Source organism: Homo sapiens, chromosome 22 (assembly GCF_000001405.40).
Source record: "Homo sapiens chromosome 22, GRCh38.p14 Primary Assembly".
NCBI classification, from domain to species: domain Eukaryota; kingdom Metazoa; phylum Chordata; class Mammalia; order Primates; family Hominidae; genus Homo; species Homo sapiens.
Window position 1 is genome coordinate 31,083,443 of NC_000022.11, and position 24,155 is coordinate 31,107,597.

Here is a 24,155-nt window from a genome sequence, read left to right on the forward strand (position 1 = left end):
GTAGGCCAGTTCCATGTGGCTGATGCAGAGGCCCTTGTGGCATGTGCCTGTCCATGCCTGGTACTGAAGCCTAGTCCCTCCCAACCCTCCACAGCCACCACCTGTTTAAACAGTAACTGCTGTAGACTCGCCCGTATGCAGCCACAGGTGTGGGGAGGCTGGATATGCCTCTCCAGAGCAATAGCTCGGGCAATGCCCACCCCTGGAAGCTGGCCCAGTGATAATGGTAGCAGCAATGATTAATAATGCCAAGGCCTGGCAGGGGGCAGGCTGGGTACTGGGTATACCATGTCACAGAATAATCACAGCAGCTCTGAAAGCCTGGGCACTGCGACTCAAGAGAGTTAAAATCACCTGCTCAAGGACACCCATCTAAGAAGGAGCTGTGCCAAAATCCCAACCCCATAGTGGGCCACGGGGGACCAGAGTCCTGGGAAAGTCAAGGCTGGACGAGGCCATAAGAGAGAGACAGGTTTTGTGGGCCCTTATGGATTCTGTGGCTTCTCATCTCATTTTTCTACTCTTGAGTCTCAGTTCCTCTACCTGTAAAATGAAGGGAGGGAGGGAGATGTGTTTGCACACAAGCTCTAGGTCCTAGAGTTGGCATGGGGACAGAATGAGGCATGGACCCAGATCTCAGGTGGAGGAAAGATGAGCCCACTCCATCCCCTTTCTTGTTCCTCTTCCTGAGAGCCCTGTCTACCTCCATGCACAGAGGCCGTAGGGCAACCCAGTGGGGCAGGGCTCCTTCCCCAACCCCAAAGGCCAGGCAGCCTGACCTGGAGGAGGGGCCAGAGGAGCTCCATCTCCTCAGTCCCTGACCCTTGTCCATGGGGGTAAATTAAAGATTTACTTTACCTAGAAGACAAGTGACCCACCCCACTCTCATACCTTCCCCCGCAGGCAGAGGCTGGAACCAACCAGCGTAGCCCAGCCACTGGGCAGTGCCCAGCTGCTGCCATGACCTCCCCAAGGCACTCTGCCTGTATGTTCTCGGACCAGCGCATTAGACTCTCTGGGTGTCTGCCTCTCCACTATCACCGCAGGATGTGTGCAGCCTGGAGGGGATGAGGTTAGGTTTCCAAAGGTGCCCGCCAGTCAGTTCGACCTTCCCTCAGGAAGTCCAAGTCCCAGTGGGGGTCGTAGAGGCAGCACAGTCCAAAAAGAGGGAATGCCAGGCCTGGTTCCCGCACATCCTCATCTCAAGGTATCCACAGGCAGGCTCAGGGTTCTTCAGCCGCCACCTCCCTCTCTTAAGCGAGGCTCGGGCGGCGCTGGAAAAGAGTTTTGGAGAGAAGCTGGAGCAGTGGTTGAATCTCTGGGAAAGGACAGATGAGAACCTGCCCCGGTCTCGGGATCGGTGCCTCTCGAAGTCTTTCCGACCCCGGGAGCGGCTCCTCCAGCACCCGGCGCCCGCCATTACTGCGCCCCGCGCGCCGGCCCGGCCCCCGCTGGCCTCGTGGCAAGAACGGGGGCGTCCCGAGCCGGGCTCCTCCCCGCGGGGCCGGGCCATATAAGGAAAAGCTAGGCCCGCTCCGCCCGCCCTGCGCCCCAGCGTCTGGCCGATTTGGGGACGCGGGCAGTCGCTTCCGGCCCCGGCTCCCGCACATTCTTGAGGATTGGGCCGGGGATGGGAGGAATGGGGACGCCTGGGGACTTGCACGCCGCGTGCCCCTCCACCACCCGCCGGGACGCCCTCTGCCTCGGTCCCGAGTTCGAGTTCGACCTCCGCCACTCAGCTGGGTGTCCTGGGGACCTTGGTTTCTTCCCTTTAGATCCGGACACTGAAGCAGGCGGTAGCGGGTGTCTTCCTACCTGGCTACCCCTTCGGCGCCTAGCGCGAGGCAGGGTGGGCGAGGCGAGGGCGGCGCCCTGCGAGGGAGGGCGGTCGCAGAACCTGCGGGCCTTCAGCGCCCCCTGGCGAGGCTTCCCTCCACCGCCGGCGGGACCCCCATGGGCAACCGGGGGAGCTGGGACTGAAAGCCTGGAGAGCCCCCTCCGTTGTGCTGTTGGGGAGACTGAGGCCCAGTGAGACCTCAGGGCCTGCCAGGCGTTCCCAACAGCGAGGGCAGAGAGTACACGGAGAGCCGGCTCCCCAGGGGGAGGAAGCACCCTCTTTCCTCCCGGGAGAATTTCACTGGGCAGTTTCGGAAACCGCCCCATCCCCTTCCCCTTCCCCCTCGGTAGACAATGGCGCTTTGTACTTCCTTCCCTCCCTCCCACAGCTCCCTCCTTACACAGCGGTGGGGCCTGGGCGGGTGGAACTCGGGACACACAGAGGAGACACTGTGGTCCAACCTTTGCCTCCAGGCCCAAAGGGAAGGGTCGTGCCAGAGGGTGACCAGTGGAATGAGGTTGTCAGTCTCCAGCCTTGCCCACCCACTTTGGGGGATCAGAGGGAGGCTCCCATTTTCCAGATGGGGACACTGAAGCTCCGGGGGTTGTGCTGTAGAGGTGGCCAAGTTCCTACATCAGGCTTTTGTCAGAGACAAGGACCCCATCTCCGAGCCCAGAGCACTGAGAATGGGGACCTAGGAGACAAAAGGCTAGCCCTTGCCCCTCTGGGCCTCTTTACCCTCTGTACAGAAGGGGCTGGACCCTCTGTCCCCTCCAGCCCCCAGCCTCCAAATGTACCACAGAAGGCTCTAGGCCTGAGACACAGCCAGCACCGGGGGCTGGGGAGTGAGCCTCATTCCCCCCGCCTCTGCTATAAGGCCTCCTTAGGCCTCAGAGCATCTCTAGTCCAGGCTAGAGGGGTCTCCAACACAGTGCCAGGATCCCTGAGGTCCCCACCATGACACACAGACCCCAGTAGCAGAGCTATCTTCAGCCTAGGGCAGGCCCTGGAGTCAGAGAGACCTGGGTTCAAATCCTGGCTCAGGTCATTTGACCATGAGCAAATCACATGTCCTCCCTGGACTTCAATCTCCTCATCTGTCAAATGGGAATAACAGTAGTATCTAGGGTTTTTGTGGGCTTAGGACAAGTAGGGGGCTCAGCACAGGGTTTGACTCACAGGCTCTCCATAAATGTTACTGATGCCTCGGGGTATCCTGCCCTTCCCATTTGCCCCCTTGTCTCTCTCCCTCCTCCTGACTGGCTAGAACCAAGTATGGGGGTGATGCTTATTGCAACTGCAGCTATGTACAGGAGAGGCCAAGTCACTGTTCCCAACCCCACCCACTGGCAAATGAAAAAACCAAGACACAGAGAGTTTAAGGGATATGCTCTTGATCACCCAGCCAGGATTGGACTAGGGCTGGAACCAACTAAGGGCTCTGGCCTGAGTTTCAGGGGGTCTTCTCATAATTCCTCAGGAATGTGGAGCCTGGAGGGCTCTTCCCCCAAGACTCTCCCTGCTCTCTTCAGACTAGGACAAGCTGGCTCATGGCTGAGTTGGGCCAGCCCACACTCCCTGCTGAAAACTATCTCCATCCCATCCCCACCCTTGCCACCTGGCCTTCCCGCTAAGCAGAAAGGAATGACGGGGGGGCGCTAAAAAGGGAGATGATAGAGGGTTCTTTGGCCCTACCCCTGAATGATTTGGGGGGTGGGGACAGAGGAAATCACCCCGCCTTTACTGGCTCCCGTCTGGTTATCAGACCCACACTGGAGGCTTATCTCTGCCACTATCTTCCAGGGGAACCCTGGGCCAGTCCTCTCTCCCTTGAGCCACGGAGGATCTGTATGTAGCAGGTGGCTCTACATGGTGGAGGTGTGGGGGAGGCAACAGGATTGGCTGACTCACTCCAGAGAAGGTGTTCTTTCCTGAACCTGGTTAGACCAGTCACCCCCAATTTCCCGGGAACTGAGGGGTTGAGAACCGGTAGAAGCAGCTGTCACCCAGGGATGCCCTCTATAAGGCCCTGGGGTGGCCCCTAGTGCCAGCCACCTTATATGTCTGGGGGATTGGTCCTCCCACTCTGCACCCTGGCTTCTTCCATGGTGGCTAGGTCCAGGCCAGTGCAGTGGGGACAATAGCCCTCAGCCAGGCAGGACTCCTGAGCACCTGTCCTCAGTTTCCCCATCTGTGGATGAAGCAGTCAACCCCCAGCTGGGCTGTGGTGTTTGGTGACTAGACCAGGGAGCCTCCCTTGCTCAGAGGGTGGACTTCATCTGTCACCTTTCCCTCTAGGGACCCTGTTAGTGACCCACAGGGTGGCCTCCCTCCTCCTCCTACAATAGCTCCCTGACTTTTGGGGATCTGGGCTCTGAGAGGCAGGAATCGAGTTGTAGAAAGGAGTGCCTGGCTTGGCACCTGGCACAAGTGGGCAGTTTCTGGCTGTCCACTCACAGTTGTGTGCTCTGTGAACCACAATGCAAAGTGGACTACCCAAGATCCCTGAAACAGTGGGCTGGGTCTACCCCCGGGACCCTGCGTGGGCAGGCAGGCACGTGAAGAGCTTGGGACACAGGGAGTGGACACAGGCCACACATTGTGCCCTAGGCAGAGCCGTGGGCAGCTGGTGCCAGCCCTCCGCCCCTGGCAGCCAAAATGACCTGCCTCTCGCACCCACTGCAGCTGGAGGTCACAGCAGATCTGGCAGAGCGGCGGCGCATCCGCTCAGCCATCCGGGAACTGCAGCGGCAGGAGCTGGAGCGCGAGGAGGAGGCCCTGGCATCCAAGCGTTTCCGTGCCGAGCGGCAGGACAACAAGGAGAACTGGCTGCAGTGAGTAGCGGGGGGTGGAACATGCGGGTGAGAAGGTGAGTGTGAGCCCTGGCTCAGCTCATGTGTGCAGGCAGGCGTGAGCACAAGTGTATCTGTGGATTGCATGTGCTAATGGCAGTACGTCCACACACGCTTCTGGAAAAACAGAGATGTTTGTGGGCATGGAGCATGTACTGATTGTGGCGTCGCGGCCGTGCTGATGTAGCCAGCACGTCTGAGTGTGTGGTATTAGTGCCCACGTCCATGGGCATATGTGTATCAGTGTGCAGTTAGAGGGTGTGCACAGCCACATGCCCTTCTGCCAAGGTTCTGGGTACTCTGTTCTGGCTCCTACCCTTAGCCCACATCCTCCACGACCTGGCCATGGCAGTGGTGGTTACAGTCATGATGTCTCTGCAGCTCTCAGCAGCGGGAAGCTGAGCAGCGGGCTGCCCTGGCACGGCTGGCAGGGCAGCTGGAGTCCATGAACGATGTGGAGGAATTGACTGCACTGGTGAGGCCCAGGCTGGGGCAGGGGATGGGGGCAGGGCAGGTGAAGACCTGGACTCCACAGCCCAACACCCGCGACCTGTCTCTTACCCACAGTTGCGAAGCGCTGGTGAGTATGAGGAGCGCAAGCTGATCCGAGCTGCCATCCGCCGTGTACGGGCTCAGGAGATTGAGGGTATGTGGCCTGTCCCGGCCCCACCCCTGCCCTGCTGTCTGCTGTCCACAGCACCTCCCTGTCACTCACCTGCCACTTGCTCCTTCCCTTCCAGCTGCCACCTTGGCTGGGAGGTTGTACAGCGGGCGTCCCAACAGTGGCTCAAGAGAGGACAGCAAGGGGCTAGCGGCACACAGGCTGGAACAGTGTGAGGTAAGGAGGGTGGGAGAGTGGCCCAGTGTCCTGTGCCCATGGATACCGGTAGCACAGAGTGCCTGAGTGTCTTTGCTAGGCTGGTATTTCACTGTAAGGGGCCCACCCCTGCCATCCAGCCTCTATTTAGCAGTCAGAGGGATCTCCCAGAAATGCAAATCCGGCCCTGGCACCTCCCCTGCTTCAACCCGTCCCAGGGCTGCCCCTCACCCTCCACACAGCCCACATCTTTACCTTGGCTTATGGGGCCTGCATGTCAGACCCCAGCTGGCTCACAGTTCACTCTATTTTCCAGAGTGTGGGTGAGAGGTCAGGCCATGCAGGTTCCCCAAGTGGCCAGCAGAGGCCGCTGGGTCCACGGTCCTGGCAGGACCCCACTCCCACTCCAGATGAACCAGGCTGAGGCCAGGAGTCAGGAACCTCCACTCCAGGGATCTATTAAGGCTCCCGTCCCCAATAGGTCTCCTGCCATACCCACCCACTGACATCAGGACCTGGTCCTCTCTGAACCCCTTTGGCTAGGTAGTGCCAAGAGATTGGGAAGTGGGGATCAGAGACTGCCCTTAGCATGCCAGTGCCAGTGCTTGCGCAGGTGTGCCTACAGGAAGCCATGCCCCACCACTCTGCTTTGCATGCCCTGCCCTGGGCACTTGCCAGCCTGGCCCTCAGTGGTGGGGGTGGCGTTCAAAGCCTAGGGAGCCTTGGTTGCATCCTGTGGGTCCCTTACAGGTGCCAGAGCGAGAGGAACAGGAACAGCAGGCAGAGGTTTCAAAGCCAACCCCCACCCCTGAAGGCACCAGCCAGGATGTGACCACAGTGACACTCCTGCTGCGAGCCCCACCTGGGAGCACATCCAGCTCACCTGCCTCACCCAGCAGTTCACCCACCCCTGCCTCTCCTGAGCCTCCATTGGAGCCTGCCGAGGCCCAGTGCCTTACAGCTGAGGTTCCAGGCAGCCCAGAGCCACCCCCCAGCCCACCCAAGACCACCAGCCCTGAGCCTCAGGAGTCTCCAACGCTCCCCAGCACTGAGGGCCAGGTGGTCAACAAGGTGAGTCTGGATGAGGGGCAGGGATGCCAGGCAAGTGAGCAGGTCTGGGAGTCAGGCCTTGCTCAGGCCCTGTTCTTCTCCCTTGCAGCTTCTGTCTGGCCCCAAAGAGACCCCTGCTGCCCAGAGCCCCACCAGAGGCCCCTCTGACACCAAGAGAGCAGGTGAGGGTCCCAGCAGGGGTAGTCACAGGCATCTTTCTTCCCCTCCCCCTGCCTCCCTTTCCCTGCCTAGAAAATGGGCTCTTGTGCCTGGCAGCTCTAGCTTCCTCAGGTCCATGCAGTCCCTGATACTGCACCCCACCCCTGAAGTGTCCCCGCCCCCAGCTAGGCCAGCCTCCCCCTCCACCCCCATGGCTAGAGGCCTCCCCTGCAGCCTTGAAAGGCAACGGGCCTCAGGCACATTCTTCTCCCCAATAAGGGAGTCCACCCATCTCCCAGCTGGAGCTGTGGGCAGCACTGGCCAGGAGGGCTGTCCCCCCTCCCCATCTGCAGAAAGGATCTGGGCACCCTTCCTCCAGCCTAAGCCTCGCCTGGCCCCCAGGAGTGTCCAAGTCATCCTAGGGTCAGTGTGGCAGGAGAAGGAGGTGCCTGTAGGAGAGATGCAGCCGAGTGGGGATGCCGGAGTGTGGGAGATCCAGGAGGGGATGGAGAGGTGGGGTGGGGGTTGAGTACAGGAAAGGGTGGGAAGCTAGGGAGGTGTAGAGGAGAGGATTATGAAAGGTGGACACCCACTATCCCCTGTCTTTTCTCTTTCCCCACATGGCCATCACCCCCTCCCCAACCTGCCAGACGTGGCTGGACCCCGACCCTGCCAACGCTCCCTGTCGGTGCTCAGCCCCCGCCAACCAGCCCAGAACCGAGGTACTACCTATTCTCACCCTGCCTAGGATCTGTGCAGACCCTGTCCCACCCAGTTGCTGACAGCCCTCCTGTTCCTTCTAGAGTCCACCCCCCTTGCCAGCGGACCTTCCTCATTCCAGCGGGCTGGCTCTGTGCGGGATCGTGTCCACAAGTTCACATCTGATTCTCCTATGGCTGCTAGGCTCCAGGATGGCACACCCCAGGCTGCCCTAAGTCCCCTGACCCCCGCAAGGCTCCTGGGCCCCTCCCTCACCAGCACCACCCCTGCCTCCTCCTCCAGCGGCTCCTCCTCTCGGGGCCCCAGTGATACCTCCTCCCGGTTCAGCAAGGAGCAACGAGGAGTAGCCCAGCCCCTGGCCCAGCTTCGAAGCTGCCCCCAGGAGGAGGGCCCCAGGGGGCGGGGCTTGGCTGCTAGGCCCCTTGAAAACAGAGCAGGGGGGCCTGTGGCACGTTCAGAGGAGCCTGGTGCCCCGCTGCCCGTGGCCGTCGGCACTGCCGAGCCAGGGGGCAGTATGAAGACCACATTCACCATCGAGATCAAGGACGGCCGTGGCCAGGCCTCCACAGGCCGGGTGCTGCTGCCCACAGGCAACCAGAGGGCAGGTAGGCGCCCCCCACTGCCTCCCCAATGGGGATGAGTGCCTGCAACCGCACTTCTGCATGCAGGACAGGTGCTGCGGCCAGGACTCAGGGTGTCTCCAAAGGGTGTGCTGGGAGCGAGGGCATTATCAACCTTGTCTGGCACTGCCCTCACTCCACCTGATCCTCCTGACAGCCACCTTTCTCCCCACTCAGAACTGACACTGGGGCTGCGGGCGCCCCCGACCCTACTCAGCACCAGTAGTGGGGGCAAGAGCACCATCACCCGTGTCAACAGCCCTGGGACCCTGGCTCGGCTGGGCAGTGTCACTCATGTCACCAGCTTCAGCCATGCCCCCCCCAGTAGCCGAGGAGGCTGCAGCATCAAGGTGAGCCCCTCCTCACCCCACCAGCCTCACCATCCGTCAGCCTCACATACACTGCTTCAGGGTGTAGGGCTAGCAGGGTTCCTCTGCTCCTCCCCTACTGCACACACAGAGAAACCGAGGCCCAGAGAGGGAAGGTGGCTGCTCACAGACCACAGCCAGTCGGTGGCAGAGCTAAGGCCAGACCCTAGCATATCAGTCCCTAAGTGTGTCGGAAGCTTACTCTGTACTGGCGTTAAGCTTCCTGGATGCTGATCTCTGATCCTTAGTTCGAAATTGGTTGGTTCATTCCTGGTGAACAGATGGGGAAACTGAGGCTCAGAGAGGGTGGTAAGGGCTTGCTCCCCTCTTCCTGTGGCAGCCCCAGTGCCCCTGCGCCCACCCACACTGGACATCAGCCCCGAGGTATAGAGCAGCTCATCTGCTCATCCAAGATCAGCCTGGCCCATTAGGAGATTGGAGATTAGTGATTAGCATCTGCGTCAACCTCCCTGTGGGGGTTGGGCAGAAGCTCTGAGGGGGGACAGACAGGCAGAGGGGCGCCAATCAGGTGAGGCAGCAGCCTAGCAGGTGCCTTGGGAACTGAATACGCAGCACCCTTCCATTATTCATTCCCAAGCCCAGGATCCACTAGCCGGGAGCTCAGCCGGGAAAGGGATCCCCAAGCGGGCCACCCGGCTGCCCAGGTAATGCCCTCTGTGCTAAACCAGGGACTGAATGGGACTTTGGCTGAGGTGAGATGGCTAGACCAGCTTTGGGCCTTCTCAGGGGAGACAGGGAGAGAGTGAGGGAAATAAAGCACCCTTCCTTTCCAAAAAAGCAGGATCCAGCTGCCCTCTGACAAGGGATTGTGTGGGGTGGGGTGGGGGGACCCGCTGAGGCCCTTGAGGTGGATGGGAGGTGCCACAGTGAGACCTGGGTCTGACACCACCAACTTGCCTCAGTTTACCCATCTGGAACCAAAGGGGACAGGTGATGTACCCATAATGTGCTTGCTCAAAGTCTGTGGTTGGACGTGAGCACCATGGGCAGGCCAGAGGGCATTTATGTAAGACCAAGACACTTTTTATAGCAGATCACTCAAAGTCCTGCCTCCCTGTGCCTCCATTTCCCCCATCTGTTCCAGCTGTCTAAAACAGCTGGAGTTAGGGTAAAGGGTAAAGGAGTACAGGCTGTGGAGTCCAGCAGACTGATTCTCACAGCTAATGTACATGGTGGCTAGGCCAGGTCCATTCCCTGTTCCCTGCCTCAGTTTCCCCACCTGTGAGGCATGGGGCCCCGATCTCAGTGATCTTCAGAACCCATGCAGTCTTACTGTGCTGCAGGCCTATGATTTCTGTAGGGCTATAGCCAGGCCTGGCGATCCGCCTGCTTGGGCAGGCCCCCCCTCCCCCACTGCCCCTTCCACGGAGGAGCCCAGAATAGGTTTCTATTTGGGCTGCAGCTCCAGCTGGCTGGTGGCGGGCTGGGAGGCAGGGGCGGGGCAGGCCCGCTGCCCTTGCCTTTGCCCTCGGACCAGCTGCAAAGACTCAGACACTCAGCCAGAGACAGCAGCCCCTGCCACTGCCCCACCATTACCCCCCATAGAGTCCCCACCAGCACCATGCCGGGGGTACCAGGGCCTGGGCCTGAGCTGGCCGCAGCCCTTGAGGAGCAGTTGGGCCGGGCACTGGAGGAGCTGCGGGCGGTGGCTGAAGCAGGCCGGGTGGCAGTGACCCAGGCAGCCGAGGTAGCTGTAGCCACCGTGGAGCCGGTGGCCCGGGCAGCTGAAGAGCTGCGGGCAGAGAGAGCAGCACTGAGCCGGCGGCTGGATGCACTGAGCAGGCAGGTGGAGGTGCTGAGCCTACGGCTGGGGGTCCCACTTGTGTCCGGCCTTGAGCCTGAGCTGGAGCCCAGCGAGCTGCTCCTGGCTGCCGCCGACCCCGAGGCCCTCTTTCAGGCTGCCGAGGATGCCGGGACCCCCGTGGCCCACCCACCTGCCTTCAGCACCCGCCGCCGCTCCTCCACCGGCACCACCCGCAGCACTAGTCTCGTAAGTGCTTCTGGGTTGGTGGGAGGGGTAGTTTTGAGCCAGGCTCTGCCTCCTCTTGACTTTAGGTATGTCACCACCTTCTCTGAGCCTCAGTTTATCTATCTTGACAGGGGACTGGGGCACTAGTGCTCTAAGACTAGGGCAAGAGGGTGCCAGGCTCCAGCCCTGAGGCATGTGTGGCAGCTGCCTTGGCAGCCCCTGGCATGACCCAGGCCCCAGCCCCCAGCTCCCTGCCGCCCTGCACCCTGGCCAGACCAAGCCTCCCTGAAACAGCTGCCACCTCAGCTCTCCTTACCCTTATAGCAGACGGAGAGGCCCTGCCAGGAGAGGAAGGGCCATAATAGTTGGCTTGGGGCCTTGTCTTCAAGGGGCTAGGGAGATGCCCTGGGAGGGCTGCAGGGCTAGAGACTCCTTAGAGGATGGTTTCCAGCAGGGGCGAGGCAGGGGGAGGTGGTACAGAGGAGAGCTTCATAGAGGTCTTGGCTCAGGGCAGCCCCAGTCAGACACCTGGTCAGGAGCCTACAGGCCCCGGGCCAGCCCTCTTGGCAAGGTAGCAGGCAGATGGGGGGCAACATGTGCTGCCTGGGCACTGGCCCAGGAGGACCTAGGCCTCGGGAACTGGCAGCACAGAGCAGAGCCTGCCTGGGAGGGGGCTGGGAACAAAGCAGCAAAATGAACTAAGGTTCAGGAGTTAGGCTGCCTTCAGCTCAGATCCCAGGCTGCATCACACTTAGAGAGAGACTGTGGGCAAGTCAGTTAGCTGCCCTGAGCCTCAGTTTCCCCTTCTGTTTTTTTTTTTTTTTTTTCCGGTCTTGTTTTCTTTGCAACAGGGTCTTACTCTCTTGCCCAGACTGGAGTGCAGCTGCATGATCATAGCTCTCTGCAGCCTCTAACTCCTGGGCTCAAGTAATCCTCCTACCTCAGCTTTCTGAGTAGGTGGGACTACAGGTGCACACCACCATGCCTAGCTAATTTTTTATTTTTGTTTTTGTAGAGATGCGGTCTCGCTATGTTACCCAGGTTGGTCTCAAACTGCTGGCAACAAGTGATCCCTCCCACCTCGGCCTCCCAAACTGTTGACATTACAGGCATGAGCCACTGCGCCCGGCCTTCCCTTCTGTTAAATAGGGACAGTAAAGTCCCTAGTGTTTATACAACACTTACTATGGACTGGAAATCATCATTATTATCACTATCCATTGTATTAATACAATTCGGGGTACGTGGGAAGCCCTACAACAAAACTGTCAGTGCCTCTTCCCTGACTGACGCTGACATGGCCATCTTTGGGCAGGCAGGCTGGCAGGCTAGTGGTTATTTCCAAGGCGTGCCAGCAACCCTAGGATCTGCTTCCCTATCCATTGGAGACATGATGAGTTTCACCCATACCCCTGCTTAAAGTCCATGCCCTCTCCCCACCCTGCAGATGGAAGCAGAGCCAGCAGAGCCTCTCGCTGCAGCAGTGGAAGCGGCCAATGGGGCTGAGCAGACCCGAGTGAACAAAGCACCAGAAGGGCGGAGCCCTCTGAGCGCTGAGGAGCTGATGACTATTGAGGATGAAGGAGTCTTGGACAAGATGGTATAGCCAGATCCGGTGGGCTGGGGGTTGGCAGAGGCCAGCAGGCACCAGGTAGGCAATGATGGGCTCTATATGCAGCTGGATCAGAGCACGGACTTTGAAGAGCGGAAGCTCATCCGGGCTGCACTTCGTGAGCTCCGACAAAGGAAGAGAGGTAGAGAGCCAGTTGCCCTACCCTAGATCCAGCTGCCCCATTCCCCAGCTGCTCCCCTCATACTCTGGGGTCCATTTGTGGACACCCCAGCTTAATAACTGCCCTACCCAGCTTCTCCTTCTCTAGACCCAGCAGTTCCCTTGGCTATTCCCTGCTGGATCCAGCTGCTCCTTCCCTAGCTCCTTCTCTCCCGCTGGTGACCCCAGTTATTCTCCCCAACCAGCTTCTCTTCTCCTTCCTAGACCCAGATACTCCCTCCCGCAGCTACTCTCTCCTTGGATCCAGTTGCCTCTCAAAGTACTGTCAACGACTCCTTCCCTGAATCCAGATACTCCTTCTCCCTGCTGCTCCTCTCTCCCTGAAGTCCATTGATGGCCATCTTAGCCTCTGCCCCATCCAGCTTCCCTTTTCCTGGACACAACTACTTCCTCCCCCAGATAGTTCTTCCCTGGACACATCTATTCATTCCCTTAGATTCTGGGTTCAATTGCTTCTCCTCTCAAACACTCTCAATTACTCCTCTGAATCTAGCTGCTTCTGCCAGGGCCCACTGATGGCCACCCCAGTCTCTATCTCTACCCACCTACTTCTATTTTAAGCCCAGTTAACCCCCTTCACTAGCTTCTCTCCCAGCTACTCTTCCCCTGGATCAGATTGCTTCTCAGATCCCATCAATTGCTCCCTTCCTGGATCTAAATATTCCTGCCTCCAGCTGCTCTTCTCCTCCAACCAAAGACCTGCTGATGGCCCACCCAGCTACTTCCTCACTCAGCTTCTCCTTCCTTGGACTCAGCTACCCCCTCACTAGATCTAGATACCCCTCCTGACTTAGCTACTCATGCCTATAGAAACCCTTTTTGGATCCATACCCCTTTGAGTTTAGCTACTCCGTATTCTCTAGTTTCTGCCTGAGTCCATCAAACCCTTCCCACACTCCATTCCCTGTCAAGTTATGGCTGTCCCCTCACCCCAGCTGCTCCTAGAGAGGCCCTTGTTACCTGTGTCATTCATGTTTCTAACAAGCCACCCTCCACCCCGTCTTGTGTGCCCCATGCACCTGTGCATCTGTGCTGTGTGGGTGTTGGTGGCCCTTTTGCGCATGCATGGGGCATCCCCTGCCCAGACCAGCGGGACAAGGAGCGGGAACGGCGGCTGCAGGAGGCACGGGGCCGGCCAGGGGAGGGGCGCGGCAACACAGCCACTGAGACCACCACGAGGCACAGCCAGCGGGCAGCTGATGGCTCTGCTGTCAGCACTGTTACCAAGACTGAGCGGCTCGTCCACTCCAGTAAGGGGCCAAATGGGGCCGGCCCAGGGCTCAGGGTGGGAACACATCCTCCCCCAGCCCCCTGTGCCTTTCACATCCTTCTCATCCCCTGCCCCTGCAGATGATGGCACACGGACGGCCCGCACCACCACAGTGGAGTCGAGTTTCGTGAGGCGCTCGGAGAGTAAGGCCACCTGGTGTCGCCCTGTGCCTGCCTGCCTGTCCGCCCACCTCCTCCGGCTCTTCCTTGAGCTCTCTCTCCGTGTCTTCAACTGTGCCGTCACTTTCTCTTCTCTGCCTGCGGCTATCACCACCCCTCCATACAGCCTCCCATCCCATCTCCTGATGTCCAGCCCAGGCCCTCACCTGGTGCCCCTTCCCCTTTTTTGCAGATGGCAGTGGCAGCACCATGATGCAAACCAAGACCTTCTCCTCTTCCTCCTCATCCAAGAAGATGGGCAGGTGAGCACCAGCACCCAATCCCTGACCATAGAGGAGTCAGTGCCACAGGGGACCTAACTGCAAACCCGTTTTACAGAGGGGTGGGCTGGGCACAGTGGCTCTTGCCTGTAATCCCAGCACTTTGGGAGGCCGAGGTGGGCGGATCACTTGAGGTCAGGAGTTCAAGACCAGCCTGGCCAACATGGTAAAACCTCATCTCTACTAAAAATACAAAAATTAGCCGGGCGTGGTGGCAGGCACCTGTAATCCCAACTACTGGGGAGGCCGAGGCACAAGAATCACTTGAACCTGGGAGGCGGAGGTTGCAGTGAGCTGAGATCACTCCACTGCACTCCAGTCTGGGCAACAGAGCGAGACTCAGTCTCAAAAATAAATAGATAAATAAATAAATAAATAAATAAATAAATAAATAAAACAGAGGGGTAGACTGGGATGCTGGGAGGTAATAGGTCTATAGCCAGGGAGGGGCAAAGTGAGAGTTAAGGATCCTGCTCTCCTTGGGATCTCATTTTATTCTCAACCACACCACAGGAGAGGTGGATGCTCAGGGAGGCCAGTGAGTTGCTTAGGGGCTCACATCTCTGAGTGGCTGCAATAGCATTGAACACTTACAGAGGCCTACCTACCACACTGAGCTGCCTGGTGGCACTGCCACTTCCCAGTATCTGCAAACCATGTCCCAGGTCACACAGCACCTTTATACCTTAGCCCCATGAGAAAGGAGGGTACCCCCATGTAACAGAGGCTGTTGGGGCTGGCAGAAAGCAGGAACAGGATCAGAATCCAGGATGAGAACCAAAGGGGTCCAGAGACTCTGAATCAGAGAGACCTTGTTCAAGTTCTAGTTCCGCCCATCACGTCCTCTGAAATCTTAGGCAAGTTACTGCCAGAGGTCTCAGTTTCCTCACCTTTAGTGGAATTGGTAAGGCCCCTCCCTGCTCTTGTGAAGTTTAAAATGGCACACAGGAAAGGATCAACAGAGATGAATTATTATTATTACTATTATTATGCTAGTCATCATTTTTATTATCGGATAGTGCCCAGAAGCTGAACTCCCCTGTAACTTGAGGGTACAATGAGGCTTCTCAGAGAACTACTCGTGGGTGGGGGAGGGGGAGGCGGAAACCTGTTGAAAACCTTGCTGTCATTTGAGACTCAGTGTACTCCTCTAAAATGCGTGTGATGAGGACGCCTCCCTCCCTGGCAGGCGTTTGTGGCAGTGGAGATACTAGTGTGCTACAAGACCCCCCCTCCTCCTCGCGAGTGGTGGTCCAGGCTGGGGAGCAGCCCTGCTCTCCCTGCCTAACATGCGCCTCCCCAACCCCTAGCATCTTCGACCGCGAGGACCAGGCCAGCCCACGGGCCGGCAGCCTGGCGGCGCTCGAGAAACGGCAGGCCGAGAAGAAGAAAGAGCTGATGAAGGCGCAGAGTCTGCCCAAGACCTCAGCCTCCCAGGCGCGCAAGGCCATGATTGAGAAGCTGGAGAAGGAGGGCGCGGCCGGGTGAGCTGCAGAAGTGGGCTGGGCAGTGGGGGGCGGGGCGTGATAGGCAGTGGGGGGCGGGGCTTGATAGTTGGCCCGGCAGAGGCGGGAAGACCGCGCGGCTAGATCTGTGGTGCAAAGGCCCGAAGGTCATGGAAGGCGGGGCCTGGGATCCACTGGGTGGGCCCACCGAGGCATGCCCCTTATAGTCGTGTGACCTGGTCCTGACACCGCCCCTACAGCAGCCCTGGCGGACCCCGCGCAGCCGTGCAGCGATCCACCAGCTTCGGGGTCCCCAACGCCAACAGCATCAAGCAGATGCTGCTGGACTGGTGTCGAGCCAAGACTCGCGGCTACGAGGTGAGCCCCGGGAGGCCAGGGGGCCTGGAGGCCTCCCCAGACCCCAGCTCAACACCTCCTTCTTAGCAGAGCTCCTATTACCCAGTACACTTCCTGCCACTGTGTGGCCTCACAGGGAACATGGAAAGGCTCTTGGGGTGAGGAAACTGAGGCTCAAAGAGGACACAAGGCAAGCCCTAGATTCCAGAATCAGTGATGAAGTAACAGGGCCTCTTGGGTGGTGGGCAGGGTTCAAGGCCGGATCCCACTCTTGGAGTCCCCTCCTTGTTGCTCTGTAGGAGGCCCTGAGTCAATTTCTCTAAATGAGGGAAGGAGTGATGAGGCATGACCATAGCCTTAGCTGGGTGGCGCTGGGCCTCTCAGTAGCTCTGTCCCTTGAAATTGCAAATATGGGAGTTGACAGGCTGACTTGGAGGAGGCTCATGTTCCAACTATTCACTCATTGTGCAAGCTACGGGGCCTCTTTGTGCCCAGTGCCCTAGGTCTGGAATAACAGAATGCTGAGGGGTAGACAGCAGGGGGGAGTTGCCCCCAGGTTCCTGACCAGTCCTCCTACGGCTTATAGCACGTCGACATCCAGAACTTCTCCTCCAGCTGGAGTGATGGGATGGCCTTCTGTGCCCTGGTGCACAACTTCTTCCCTGAGGCCTTCGACTATGGGCAGCTTAGCCCTCAGAACCGACGCCAGAACTTCGAGGTGGCCTTCTCATCTGCGGAGTAAGTGTGGGCCCTGGCCCTGCTAATGTTGCTGCACATCTGGGGCTGGACATCGGGACCAGGCCCAGTTGCCCTGAGAACCCCTGGAGCGGGCCAGCCACATTGTCAGTCAGCGGCTGAGACCCCCTTCCCCAGAGAGTCCCCGTCCTTCTCCATCCCCACCCCCCCGCTGCTGAGCGTGCCAGGTGCCCGCCGGAACGAAGGAGCCGCAGGCCGGCCTACCAGCCCGGGCCAAAGCCCACCAGGTGGCCCTGTCCATATCCCCTCCATCCTCCCTCTGCCCCCTTCTCCCTCTCTCTCCCTTTCTCTGTCCTGCTCTCCTCCCACTATCACCAGAGCTTCCTGCTCCCACGGGATCCCGGCTGGAGATTCCAAAAGGAGGCTCCTGGCCCGGGCACCGTGCCCGCCCAGCCTATATAGTGCTGCCAGAGGCTTATATAGGACCTCAGCAAGCCCTCCACTTTGGAATCGTTGCCCCGTCTGCTCACCTCACCCTCAGCACCCTTCTCCATCTGTCTTCCCTTCTTTCCCCTTCTCTTTCTGGTTTCCCTCAAATTTCTTCCTCCTCCTCCTTCTCCTCTTCCTCCTCCCCCCACCTCCTCTCACGCCTCCCTCACCCCCTCTCCCCGGGGCACAGCCCTCCTCTCCAACCTTGGTGCCAACGCCATCGCCCCCACCCCGCGTTCCCGCTTGCCCCTAGAGTTCTCTGCACCTGTGACTGGTTTGGCCCCCACCCTTGTCTGCATTGCACACCATTAGTGATGGGTAGTGAGCGGCACGTCCACAGTGGGGAGGAGGCATGCGGGGGGCTGGCAGACTGCAGCACTGGAATCGTAATTGAACTCATGTCTCTGTGTGTGTGTGTGTATGTGTGTGTGTCTCTGTTTCCTCCCCTCTCTCTTCTCTGCCTCTTCCCTCTCTTCCCCACCCGGGGCCCTGGCCTCCTGCCCCCGTCCCCCACCCCTTCCCGGCCCCCTACCCTCCCCAGGACCCATGCGGACTGCCCGCAGCTCCTGGATACAGAGGACATGGTGCGGCTTCGAGAGCCTGACTGGAAGTGCGTGTACACGTACATCCAGGAATTCTACCGCTGTCTGGTCCAGAAGGGGCTGGTAAAAACCAAAAAGTCCTAACCCCTGCTCGGGGCCCCACGGTGAGAAACGCCGCCTCTACCACCTGCCCCGTTTCACCAGAATCTGCTCAGCAAGGCCAGAGAGGGTCCAGGGAGGCGGGTGGGGGAAGTAAGGGGGGCATTTAGTCAAGCCAGAGGAGCCAGACATAGCCCTGTCTTCTGGCAGTTCAGGGCCCAGCAGGTGAGACCATTCTAAATGGGCAGTGATGACCCAGGTGGGCAGCACTGTGATGGGGGAAGCCCAGGGGAGATGCCTGACCCAGGCTGCAGGTCTGGGCCCCCCATCTGAAAAAAGTGCAAACTAAGCTGGGATCTGAACAAGTTCAGGCTAAAGGAGGGAGAGGGAGTTCCAGGCAGAGGAATCAGCCTAGGCTTAGCAGGGCAAGAGAGCTGGAGAGCACAGCACATCAGGAAGGGAAGAAACTTGAGTCTGGATATGAGGGAGGAGGGGGCCACAGTTAGAAGTTTGACCTTCTGGCCGAGCACGGTGGCTCATGCCTGTAATCCCAGCACTTTGGGAGGCCAAGGTGGGCAGATCACGAGGTCATGAGTTCGAGACCAGCCTGACCAACATGGTGAAACCCCATCTCTACTAAAAATACAAAAATTAGCCAGGCGTGTGGCGCACACCTGTAATCCTAGCGACTCAGGAGGCTGAGGTAGGAGAATCACTTGAACCCAGGAGGCGAAGGTTGCAATGAGCTGAAATCATGCCACTGCACTCCAGCCTGGGTGACAGAGCGAGACTCCATCTCAAAAAAAAAAAAAAAAAAAAAAAAGTTTGACCTTCCTCCTGAGGACAACAGGAGTTATAAAGGGTTTCCAAACAGAGAAGGGATGGATATAGCATTCTAGGACCTTCCTCGGATGAGGCTTGGATGAGAGATGGGATGGACTAGATGACTGGAATAGCTTAAGAGCTAGAGAGACAGGCTTCCCAATAGATCTGGTTTGGAGAGGGAGAGGGAAGGTCAAGAAGTCTGCCAGGCTCCTGTGTGGGCACTGGGGAGTTGGTGGTGCCATACTCCAAAGTGGGGAGCTCAGGAGCAGGACCAGTTCAACAGGAAGATGTTTCTGGCTGGGGACTCTGGATCCTAAGCCAGCTGTGGCATTTCCTCTCTGGTCACCTCACCTCAGTACCAAAGTAAAGAATTCAGATCCTAAACTAACTACCCCATTACAGACAAGGAGCTCAGAGAGAGACGTGGGCTAAGACTGTCCTGGGGGTGGGAGGGAGAGGGAAGATGGTTAGGTCAGAGCTGGGGCCAGAAACTGAGACTCCAAACTCCCCACTTAGTGGCTGTTTTCCTTGCCCCATCACTGTGTTCCCGCCCATTTTGTAGAGAGGATTGAAAATAGAGGCCCAGAAGGAGCAAGGGGATTGGCTGAAGGAATGTGAGTCAGTGACAGGTAGGGGCACACTCAGATGCCCCTCAGGGCCTGGAGCCATTGTGGGGGGCAGTCCACATGTGCACACACACACTCAGAGAAGGAGCACAGATGAGTGGCGGATGGGCTTGGTGCTATCTCCAGATCATATATGGACTTAGGAGCTGCTGCCCAGCAAGCCAGCTTGGAGGGAGAGGGGCCCAGCCCAGCCCTGATCCAGTTGGAAAGTGTGACTCAGCCGTGCTGTTGCTCAAGTTGCCTGGTGTTTGGCCTGTCACTGGGGCAGCCTGAGCCCTGAGCCCTGAGCCCCAGTGTAAACAATGGCTTTATAAGGTCTCCAGGGAAGGGAGTGGGGCGGGAGGGAGCACCAGGTTGGAGAGGGCGGTCGGGATCCCCAGGACGATAGCCACAGCTGGAAGAAGCTTCAGAGAGAGGCTGCCTTTGCATCATGGTACAGCTCGGGAAACAAGCCCAGTCTGGGATAGGGATGACCCTAGGGGCACGTGGCACATCAGCAGCAGACCCAGAACCCTCTCACTCATCCTAAATTCTTGTAAGGTCTCAAATGAGATAGAGAATAACTGTCCTGTTCTAAAGAGGGGGAAACAGTCATAGAAAAGGGCCTTATCTAGCACCCACAACTGGTTAGGGATACAGTCTGGACTAAAACAGAGGTGTTCGGTGTTCTGCCTCCCAGGTTTCTTCTCTGAAGGAGTCCAGGTGAGCTGGGGGTAGGCCCAGCCCTACCACAGTTCTGAGTTTGTCCATAAGGGCACGAGATGGGAGGTGGTCTTGGGTTCTCAGGTGTCTTGAGAATAAGGAGCAATTGTTGCCATTATGCCTTCCCTGCCATAGGAAACTCATTCAGCAACATTGAATGCTTGCTATGTCCCAGGTATGGCAGATAGGAGGGATCAAGGCAGAAGAGGTCTTGCTCTGGGGGTTGAGGGACAGGGGAAAAGGAGCCAGAGAGCAGACTCCAGCTTCAGAGCTCTGGGAGCTGTCAGTTGCTTAATAGGCACAACCCACTCACTCCAGAGTGGGGAAAAGGCTTTGCCAACACCCAGAACTGGGGGCCTGGGTCCCATGCGGCCTAGCCTGCACTTACTAAGCCATGGGGCTTGAAACAAATGGCTCCTCTGCTCTGTGACTCAGTTTCCTTATCTGTGAAGGGCAGCTAGCATTCTGAAGGATGGCCAGAAGGGTGGTCCCCCCGAGCATGGCATAGATGGTCCATTGGTATTGGCTGGGATCCTCATCTGCCTCCTCTGCTCTACCCAAGGCAGGTGATAAGGGTTAGAGAACCCCTCTGCTGCCCACACGTTCCCTGGCCTCCATCTCCAGCAGCAGGGTTATCCCCACCCCCTGTCAAAGAATAGGGGTCCCTGGGCCTCTCAACAGGAAGTACCAGATCAGGCAGCTAGCAGACAATCATCGGTGGACCACAGGGCCACTAGAGTGAGACCTATCCATAGATAAAGATTGGCCAGTGATGAAGCCCATCTGGGTGCAAAGGCCGAGCTGAGAGGCTTCTACCAACTGGAGTGTGCCAGTGAGGGTGAGCAGAAGGTGGTCTCCAGGGAGAACATGGGCAGGGTTTGGAGCCAGCACCTCCCCAGGGTTGGAGGAAGCAGACCCAGGACCTGCCTGACTGGGATGGGGCTCTCTTCTGCCATCTCCGCCTCCACCTGCCTAGCTCTGCTCCCCCGCCCCGAGAGATGCCTCCAGGCTTGGGTAGATGAAGCCAGGGGCTTCCTGCCTTCCTGGAAGGCTTTTCCCTGTCTGGAGTTTATGAAAGACCAGCAGGCAATGCGGCAATAAAAAAGACCTTGGGGTAGAGGGGCGCCACGAGAGGCGGGTCTGGCGCTGACATCCAACCCCGTGCCCCCTCCCTGCAGGATGCTGGTGGACTGTGTGCCCCTGGTGGAGGTGGACGACATGATGATCATGGGCAAGAAGCCTGACCCCAAGTGTGTCTTCACCTATGTGCAGTCGCTCTACAACCACCTGCGACGCCACGAACTGCGCCTGCGCGGCAAGAATGTCTAGCCTGCCCGCCCGCATGGCCAGCCAGTGGCAAGCTGCCGCCCCCACTCTCCGGGCACCGTCTCCTGCCTGTGCGTCCGCCCACCGCTGCCCTGTCTGTTGCGACACCCTCCCCCCCACATACACACGCAGCGTTTTGATAAATTATTGGTTTTCAACGATCCTGACTCCTCTCTGCGTCTCCTGGGGGTGGGGAGGGGGTTTGAACCGAAGGCAGCTCCGCAAGGTCTCCAACTCCAGCAGGGATCCTCAGAGGTTCTTCTTCCGACCTCCCACCCCACCCGCCCGCAGCAACGAAGGAGTCGAGCCTCAGTTAAGGCAGGAGGGAATTTAGTGGAGCTGGGGAAGGAAGAAAGTGGGGTTGGGAGAACCTCCCCAACCCCATCCCTGCTGGCCCGGGGACGGGCATCGGCTCTCAGCAAGAGAAGTATTCCCGGGATGCTGAGCGCTTCATTCTGTCTCCAGGACTCAGGCAGGTAGGTCCCAGCTCCGCCGCGCCCCCGGACCTACAGGTCAGCGTGGTCCGAAGTTTCCTCTGGGGGCTTCGCGGGCGCCCACACGTACTCGGGGGGCACCTGCGCGTCGGGCGCCGCCTTGCGGTAGAAGCCGAGCTCCTGCACTAGCGCATTGATCTCTTCGCGGGTCATTTCACTGAGTGGGATGCGCTGAGGCGGAGGAGGGGCGGGGTCAGCAGGCTGGGCCTCGCCTCTGGCCTCGCCCCCAGCCCACCTCCCACGGCCTCACCTCTAGTTCCTCGTAGCGGCGGCCCAGCAGCACGAGCTCAGGGTCGGCCCCAGGGAGGTGTTTCATCACCAGGTTGTGACTGGAGGTGGTGTTAAGGAGCGGGGTGGTGGGCAGAGGGAGGTGGTGGTTTCCGCAGCCTTACTGATGGGAACAGCATTGCCTCCTTTGCTCAGAGCTTACTCTGTGCCCGGGAGGGGCCAGGGTCTCCGCTTATACGTGAGAAAATTAGGGTTCAAAGAAGTAAAGGGCCCTCCTCTCCATTCTGTGGCAGTCATCACTAGTCAATCTCTCTTGCCCACCCAACATGGAGACCACCTCAGAATCCTCTGGGAGCCACTACCAATCAATTCAACTTGTCAGTTGAAAACCATCTGCCACCCCTTTCTGAAGTTACGTGGAGATTCTCCCAGGTGCCCATCCCATTTCCCCTCCCCCAGAACAGAAGGATACTAGAATGGAATGTCCTGCGTGACGAAAGCCTTCACCTGGGGAGGAACCAGAGCATCAGAGACCATGACCTCAGTCTACTCGAGGTACAGACGAGACACTGAAGCCCAGTGAGGTCATAAAGCAAGTCAGGTGCAGGCTAGACTCTCAGCCTAGGCTAGACTCTCAGCCTAGGGATCCTTCCCCCCTCCCCGCCCCAGTCATTGGGACCATGTTGCCCACTCCCCAAGAGGCTCAGGGGGAACAGAGCTAGGGACCTCTTCCTTCAAACTCACCTCCTTTAGGCGGTTCAGCTGTCATCCCCCGCAGGTCTGGAGGGGGATAAAATGGGATAGGTCAGGAGTCCTTCACGTTTATTCCAGTCACATCCCCAAAGCCATACTTCCTTATCCCTGAGTTGGGTCGGGCTGTGAGTTATCCCCGGATCAGCAGTTCCCAAGGTCTGAAGGAAATGCTGGACCCTTGTGGGCAGAAGGGGGAACTGTGTATACAGGTGGGGAGACTCAGGCCTAGAGACACCAGGGGAAAAGAGCAAGGCCAGAGACCCACAGTGTGCCTGCCAGCCTTGGGGCCTGTACATCCTACTGGCTGTGGACTGACTCCCAATGCCCAGGGGAAATGATCACCCTGCTCCTCTTAAGCAGTAGAGACCTGGGCTTGGCCTTTGATCCCTGAAATCTCACAGTGGAGGCAGAGCAGAAGGAAACACCTCAGAATGGCCCTGGGGGCCCCCATTGGAGACACCTACCATCTGGTCCCTACTCTACACAGGCAGACCTCACCCTGCCTGCCACCTGCGGCCCAGCCCCACAGACCATGTGGTTGCTTCCCTGACATGGGAGGATGGGAGGGCTCCTCCCTGCCTTCCCTGAGGAGATGCCACCATCCAGCAGGAGTCTAGACCCCAGGACCACCCACTCCAGCCCTCCTCCATCCTACCCTCAGCCCTTTTCTTAGAGACAGGGTCTCACTATGTCCCCCAAGCTGGTCTTGAACTCCTGGGCTCAAGCAATCCTCCTGCCTTGGCCTCCCAAAGTGCTGGGATTACAGGCGTGCACCACCGGCACCCAACCATTCTACACCCTTTTGTCAGACAGAGCTGACAAAAAGCTCAGAGGCGGGCTGTGATGGTCAAAGTCACATAGCAAGACAGGGACTCCGAACGGGAATTTCCTGGTTGGGGGAGGATGGGAGGCTGCTGCAGAGTAAATGTTGGCAACCAAGTTCCCAACTCGGTTGCCCCTCCGAGTTGGCCCCCTTCCCCGGATCCTGCATATGGGAGGAGGCACCCAGAAAGTCTTCTTTCCCCCCAGGAGAAGGAAAAGAGACTTTCTGGAGCCTCCAGCCCTGGAACCGGGTCGGGGGGGAATTCCAGGAAAACATGAAGTGATGGGGGATGGGAAGTTGGGACAGGATTGGGAGTCATAGGCCACGAGAAGAGTTAGGAGACTGCGTCAGTGTGTCTGGGTGTCCGCTGTCGGACCGGGTAGGGGGAGCTGGGGAAGGGTTCGGAGTTCCAGGCCCCAAAGTCGGTGTCTCAGGCTTCCACGGTGGATGCTGGGGCCATCTGGGGCTAGGGAACAGGAGGGATGGTCCCGGCGCCAGGGGGAAAGCAGGGAGACTCGCGGTTCGAGGTGGTCTTGGGGCCGGGACGGACGGTGCTCCCATGGGGCCGCAGGGTTGGGGAACGATAGTGCCGGGGCTGGAGGCCGGCGTACTCACCTCTACCCGGGCGCGGGTTAGGCCGCTCAGACGGTTCCAGTCCGGCCGGTAGGCAGTGGCGGCTGTGGCTGGGGCCACAAGCGCCGCGAGAAGCAGCAGCAGCGCCAGCGGAGGCAACAGGAGGCTCATCGGGACCCGGCCGCAGATGATGCGCAAGCTGGAGGCGAACCTCCGAGTCGCTGCGCCACGTCTGGGCCCCCAGGCTGGCCCCGCCCCCGCCC

The 24,155-nt window shown here is 58.9% G+C and overlaps 2 protein-coding genes across 34 annotated transcripts in view, besides 8 other annotated features; one reads left to right on the plus strand and one right to left on the minus strand.

Moving 5' to 3' along the window:
* Positions 1 to 21,182, plus strand: part of SMTN (smoothelin) — a 40,507-nt gene extending 19,325 nt beyond the window's left edge. For 8 of the 33 annotated variants that reach the window (NM_001382639.1, NM_001382642.1, NM_001382641.1 and 5 more), the window contains 19 exons: positions 4,523 to 4,671; positions 5,071 to 5,164; positions 5,257 to 5,335; positions 5,430 to 5,527; positions 6,257 to 6,577; positions 6,666 to 6,738; positions 7,366 to 7,437; positions 7,519 to 8,040; positions 8,233 to 8,405; positions 11,861 to 12,013; positions 12,092 to 12,167; positions 13,291 to 13,455; positions 13,556 to 13,618; positions 13,827 to 13,896; positions 15,225 to 15,398; positions 15,620 to 15,737; positions 16,303 to 16,454; positions 17,443 to 17,607; positions 20,874 to 21,182. In NM_001382639.1, coding sequence (NP_001369568.1) covers positions 4,523 to 4,671; positions 5,071 to 5,164; positions 5,257 to 5,335; positions 5,430 to 5,527; positions 6,257 to 6,577; positions 6,666 to 6,738; positions 7,366 to 7,437; positions 7,519 to 8,040; positions 8,233 to 8,405; positions 11,861 to 12,013; positions 12,092 to 12,167; positions 13,291 to 13,455; positions 13,556 to 13,618; positions 13,827 to 13,896; positions 15,225 to 15,398; positions 15,620 to 15,737; positions 16,303 to 16,454; positions 17,443 to 17,587 — 2,697 coding nt within the window. In that variant the 3' untranslated portion in view covers positions 17,588 to 17,607; positions 20,874 to 21,182. Of the gene's footprint in view, positions 1 to 1,553; positions 1,850 to 4,522; positions 4,672 to 5,011; positions 5,165 to 5,256; positions 5,336 to 5,429; positions 5,528 to 6,256; positions 6,578 to 6,665; positions 6,739 to 6,994; positions 7,139 to 7,365; positions 7,438 to 7,518; positions 8,041 to 8,232; positions 8,406 to 10,341; positions 10,435 to 11,860; positions 12,014 to 12,091; positions 12,168 to 12,409; positions 13,456 to 13,555; positions 13,897 to 15,224; positions 15,399 to 15,619; positions 15,738 to 16,302; positions 16,455 to 17,442; positions 17,608 to 20,873 lie in introns of those variants that run through there. The other 25 variants (XM_017028913.2, NM_001207017.1, XM_017028914.2 and 22 more) reach the window with 23 other exon arrangements.
* Positions 996 to 1,065: an enhancer, noted in NCBI's record as "active region_18848". NCBI's record gives its function as "activates an Ori minimal core promoter by ATAC-STARR-seq in GM12878 lymphoblastoid cells {active_cell/tissue: GM12878}" and the evidence as "EXISTENCE:reporter gene assay evidence [ECO:0000049][PMID:35858748]".
* Positions 1,316 to 1,595: a silencer, noted in NCBI's record as "silent region_13622". NCBI's record gives its function as "represses an Ori minimal core promoter by ATAC-STARR-seq in GM12878 lymphoblastoid cells {active_cell/tissue: GM12878}" and the evidence as "EXISTENCE:reporter gene assay evidence [ECO:0000049][PMID:35858748]".
* Positions 1,776 to 1,965: a silencer, noted in NCBI's record as "silent region_13623". NCBI's record gives its function as "represses an Ori minimal core promoter by ATAC-STARR-seq in GM12878 lymphoblastoid cells {active_cell/tissue: GM12878}" and the evidence as "EXISTENCE:reporter gene assay evidence [ECO:0000049][PMID:35858748]".
* Positions 2,284 to 2,910: an enhancer, noted in NCBI's record as "H3K4me1 hESC enhancer chr22:31481712-31482338 (GRCh37/hg19 assembly coordinates)". NCBI's record gives its function as "activates a minimal SCP1, AML or CMV promoter by ChIP-STARR-seq in naive H9 embryonic stem cells {active_cell/tissue: H9 hESC(naive)}" and the evidence as "EXISTENCE:reporter gene assay evidence [ECO:0000049][PMID:30033119]".
* Positions 12,828 to 13,402: an enhancer, noted in NCBI's record as "H3K27ac-H3K4me1 hESC enhancer chr22:31492256-31492830 (GRCh37/hg19 assembly coordinates)". NCBI's record gives its function as "activates a minimal SCP1, AML or CMV promoter by ChIP-STARR-seq in naive H9 embryonic stem cells {active_cell/tissue: H9 hESC(naive)}" and the evidence as "EXISTENCE:reporter gene assay evidence [ECO:0000049][PMID:30033119]".
* Positions 13,403 to 13,976: an enhancer, noted in NCBI's record as "H3K27ac-H3K4me1 hESC enhancer chr22:31492831-31493404 (GRCh37/hg19 assembly coordinates)". NCBI's record gives its function as "activates a minimal SCP1, AML or CMV promoter by ChIP-STARR-seq in naive H9 embryonic stem cells {active_cell/tissue: H9 hESC(naive)}" and the evidence as "EXISTENCE:reporter gene assay evidence [ECO:0000049][PMID:30033119]".
* Positions 20,360 to 21,310: an enhancer, noted in NCBI's record as "H3K27ac-H3K4me1 hESC enhancer chr22:31499788-31500738 (GRCh37/hg19 assembly coordinates)". NCBI's record gives its function as "activates a minimal SCP1, AML or CMV promoter by ChIP-STARR-seq in primed H9 embryonic stem cells {active_cell/tissue: H9 hESC(primed)}" and the evidence as "EXISTENCE:reporter gene assay evidence [ECO:0000049][PMID:30033119]".
* SELENOM (selenoprotein M) lies at positions 21,335 to 24,126 on the minus strand. Its single transcript, NM_080430.4, has 5 exons — positions 23,935 to 24,126; positions 22,488 to 22,523; positions 22,216 to 22,250; positions 21,766 to 21,844; positions 21,335 to 21,686 (listed from the first exon to the last, which is right to left on the minus strand). The coding sequence occupies exons 1-5, from the start codon at positions 24,061 to 24,063 to the stop codon at positions 21,528 to 21,530; spliced, it is 438 nt and encodes a 145-aa protein (NP_536355.1). The 5' UTR covers positions 24,064 to 24,126; the 3' UTR covers positions 21,335 to 21,527.
* Positions 22,810 to 23,582: an enhancer, noted in NCBI's record as "H3K4me1 hESC enhancer chr22:31502238-31503010 (GRCh37/hg19 assembly coordinates)". NCBI's record gives its function as "activates a minimal SCP1, AML or CMV promoter by ChIP-STARR-seq in primed H9 embryonic stem cells {active_cell/tissue: H9 hESC(primed)}" and the evidence as "EXISTENCE:reporter gene assay evidence [ECO:0000049][PMID:30033119]".
* Positions 24,127 to 24,155: the final 29 nt, after the last annotated feature.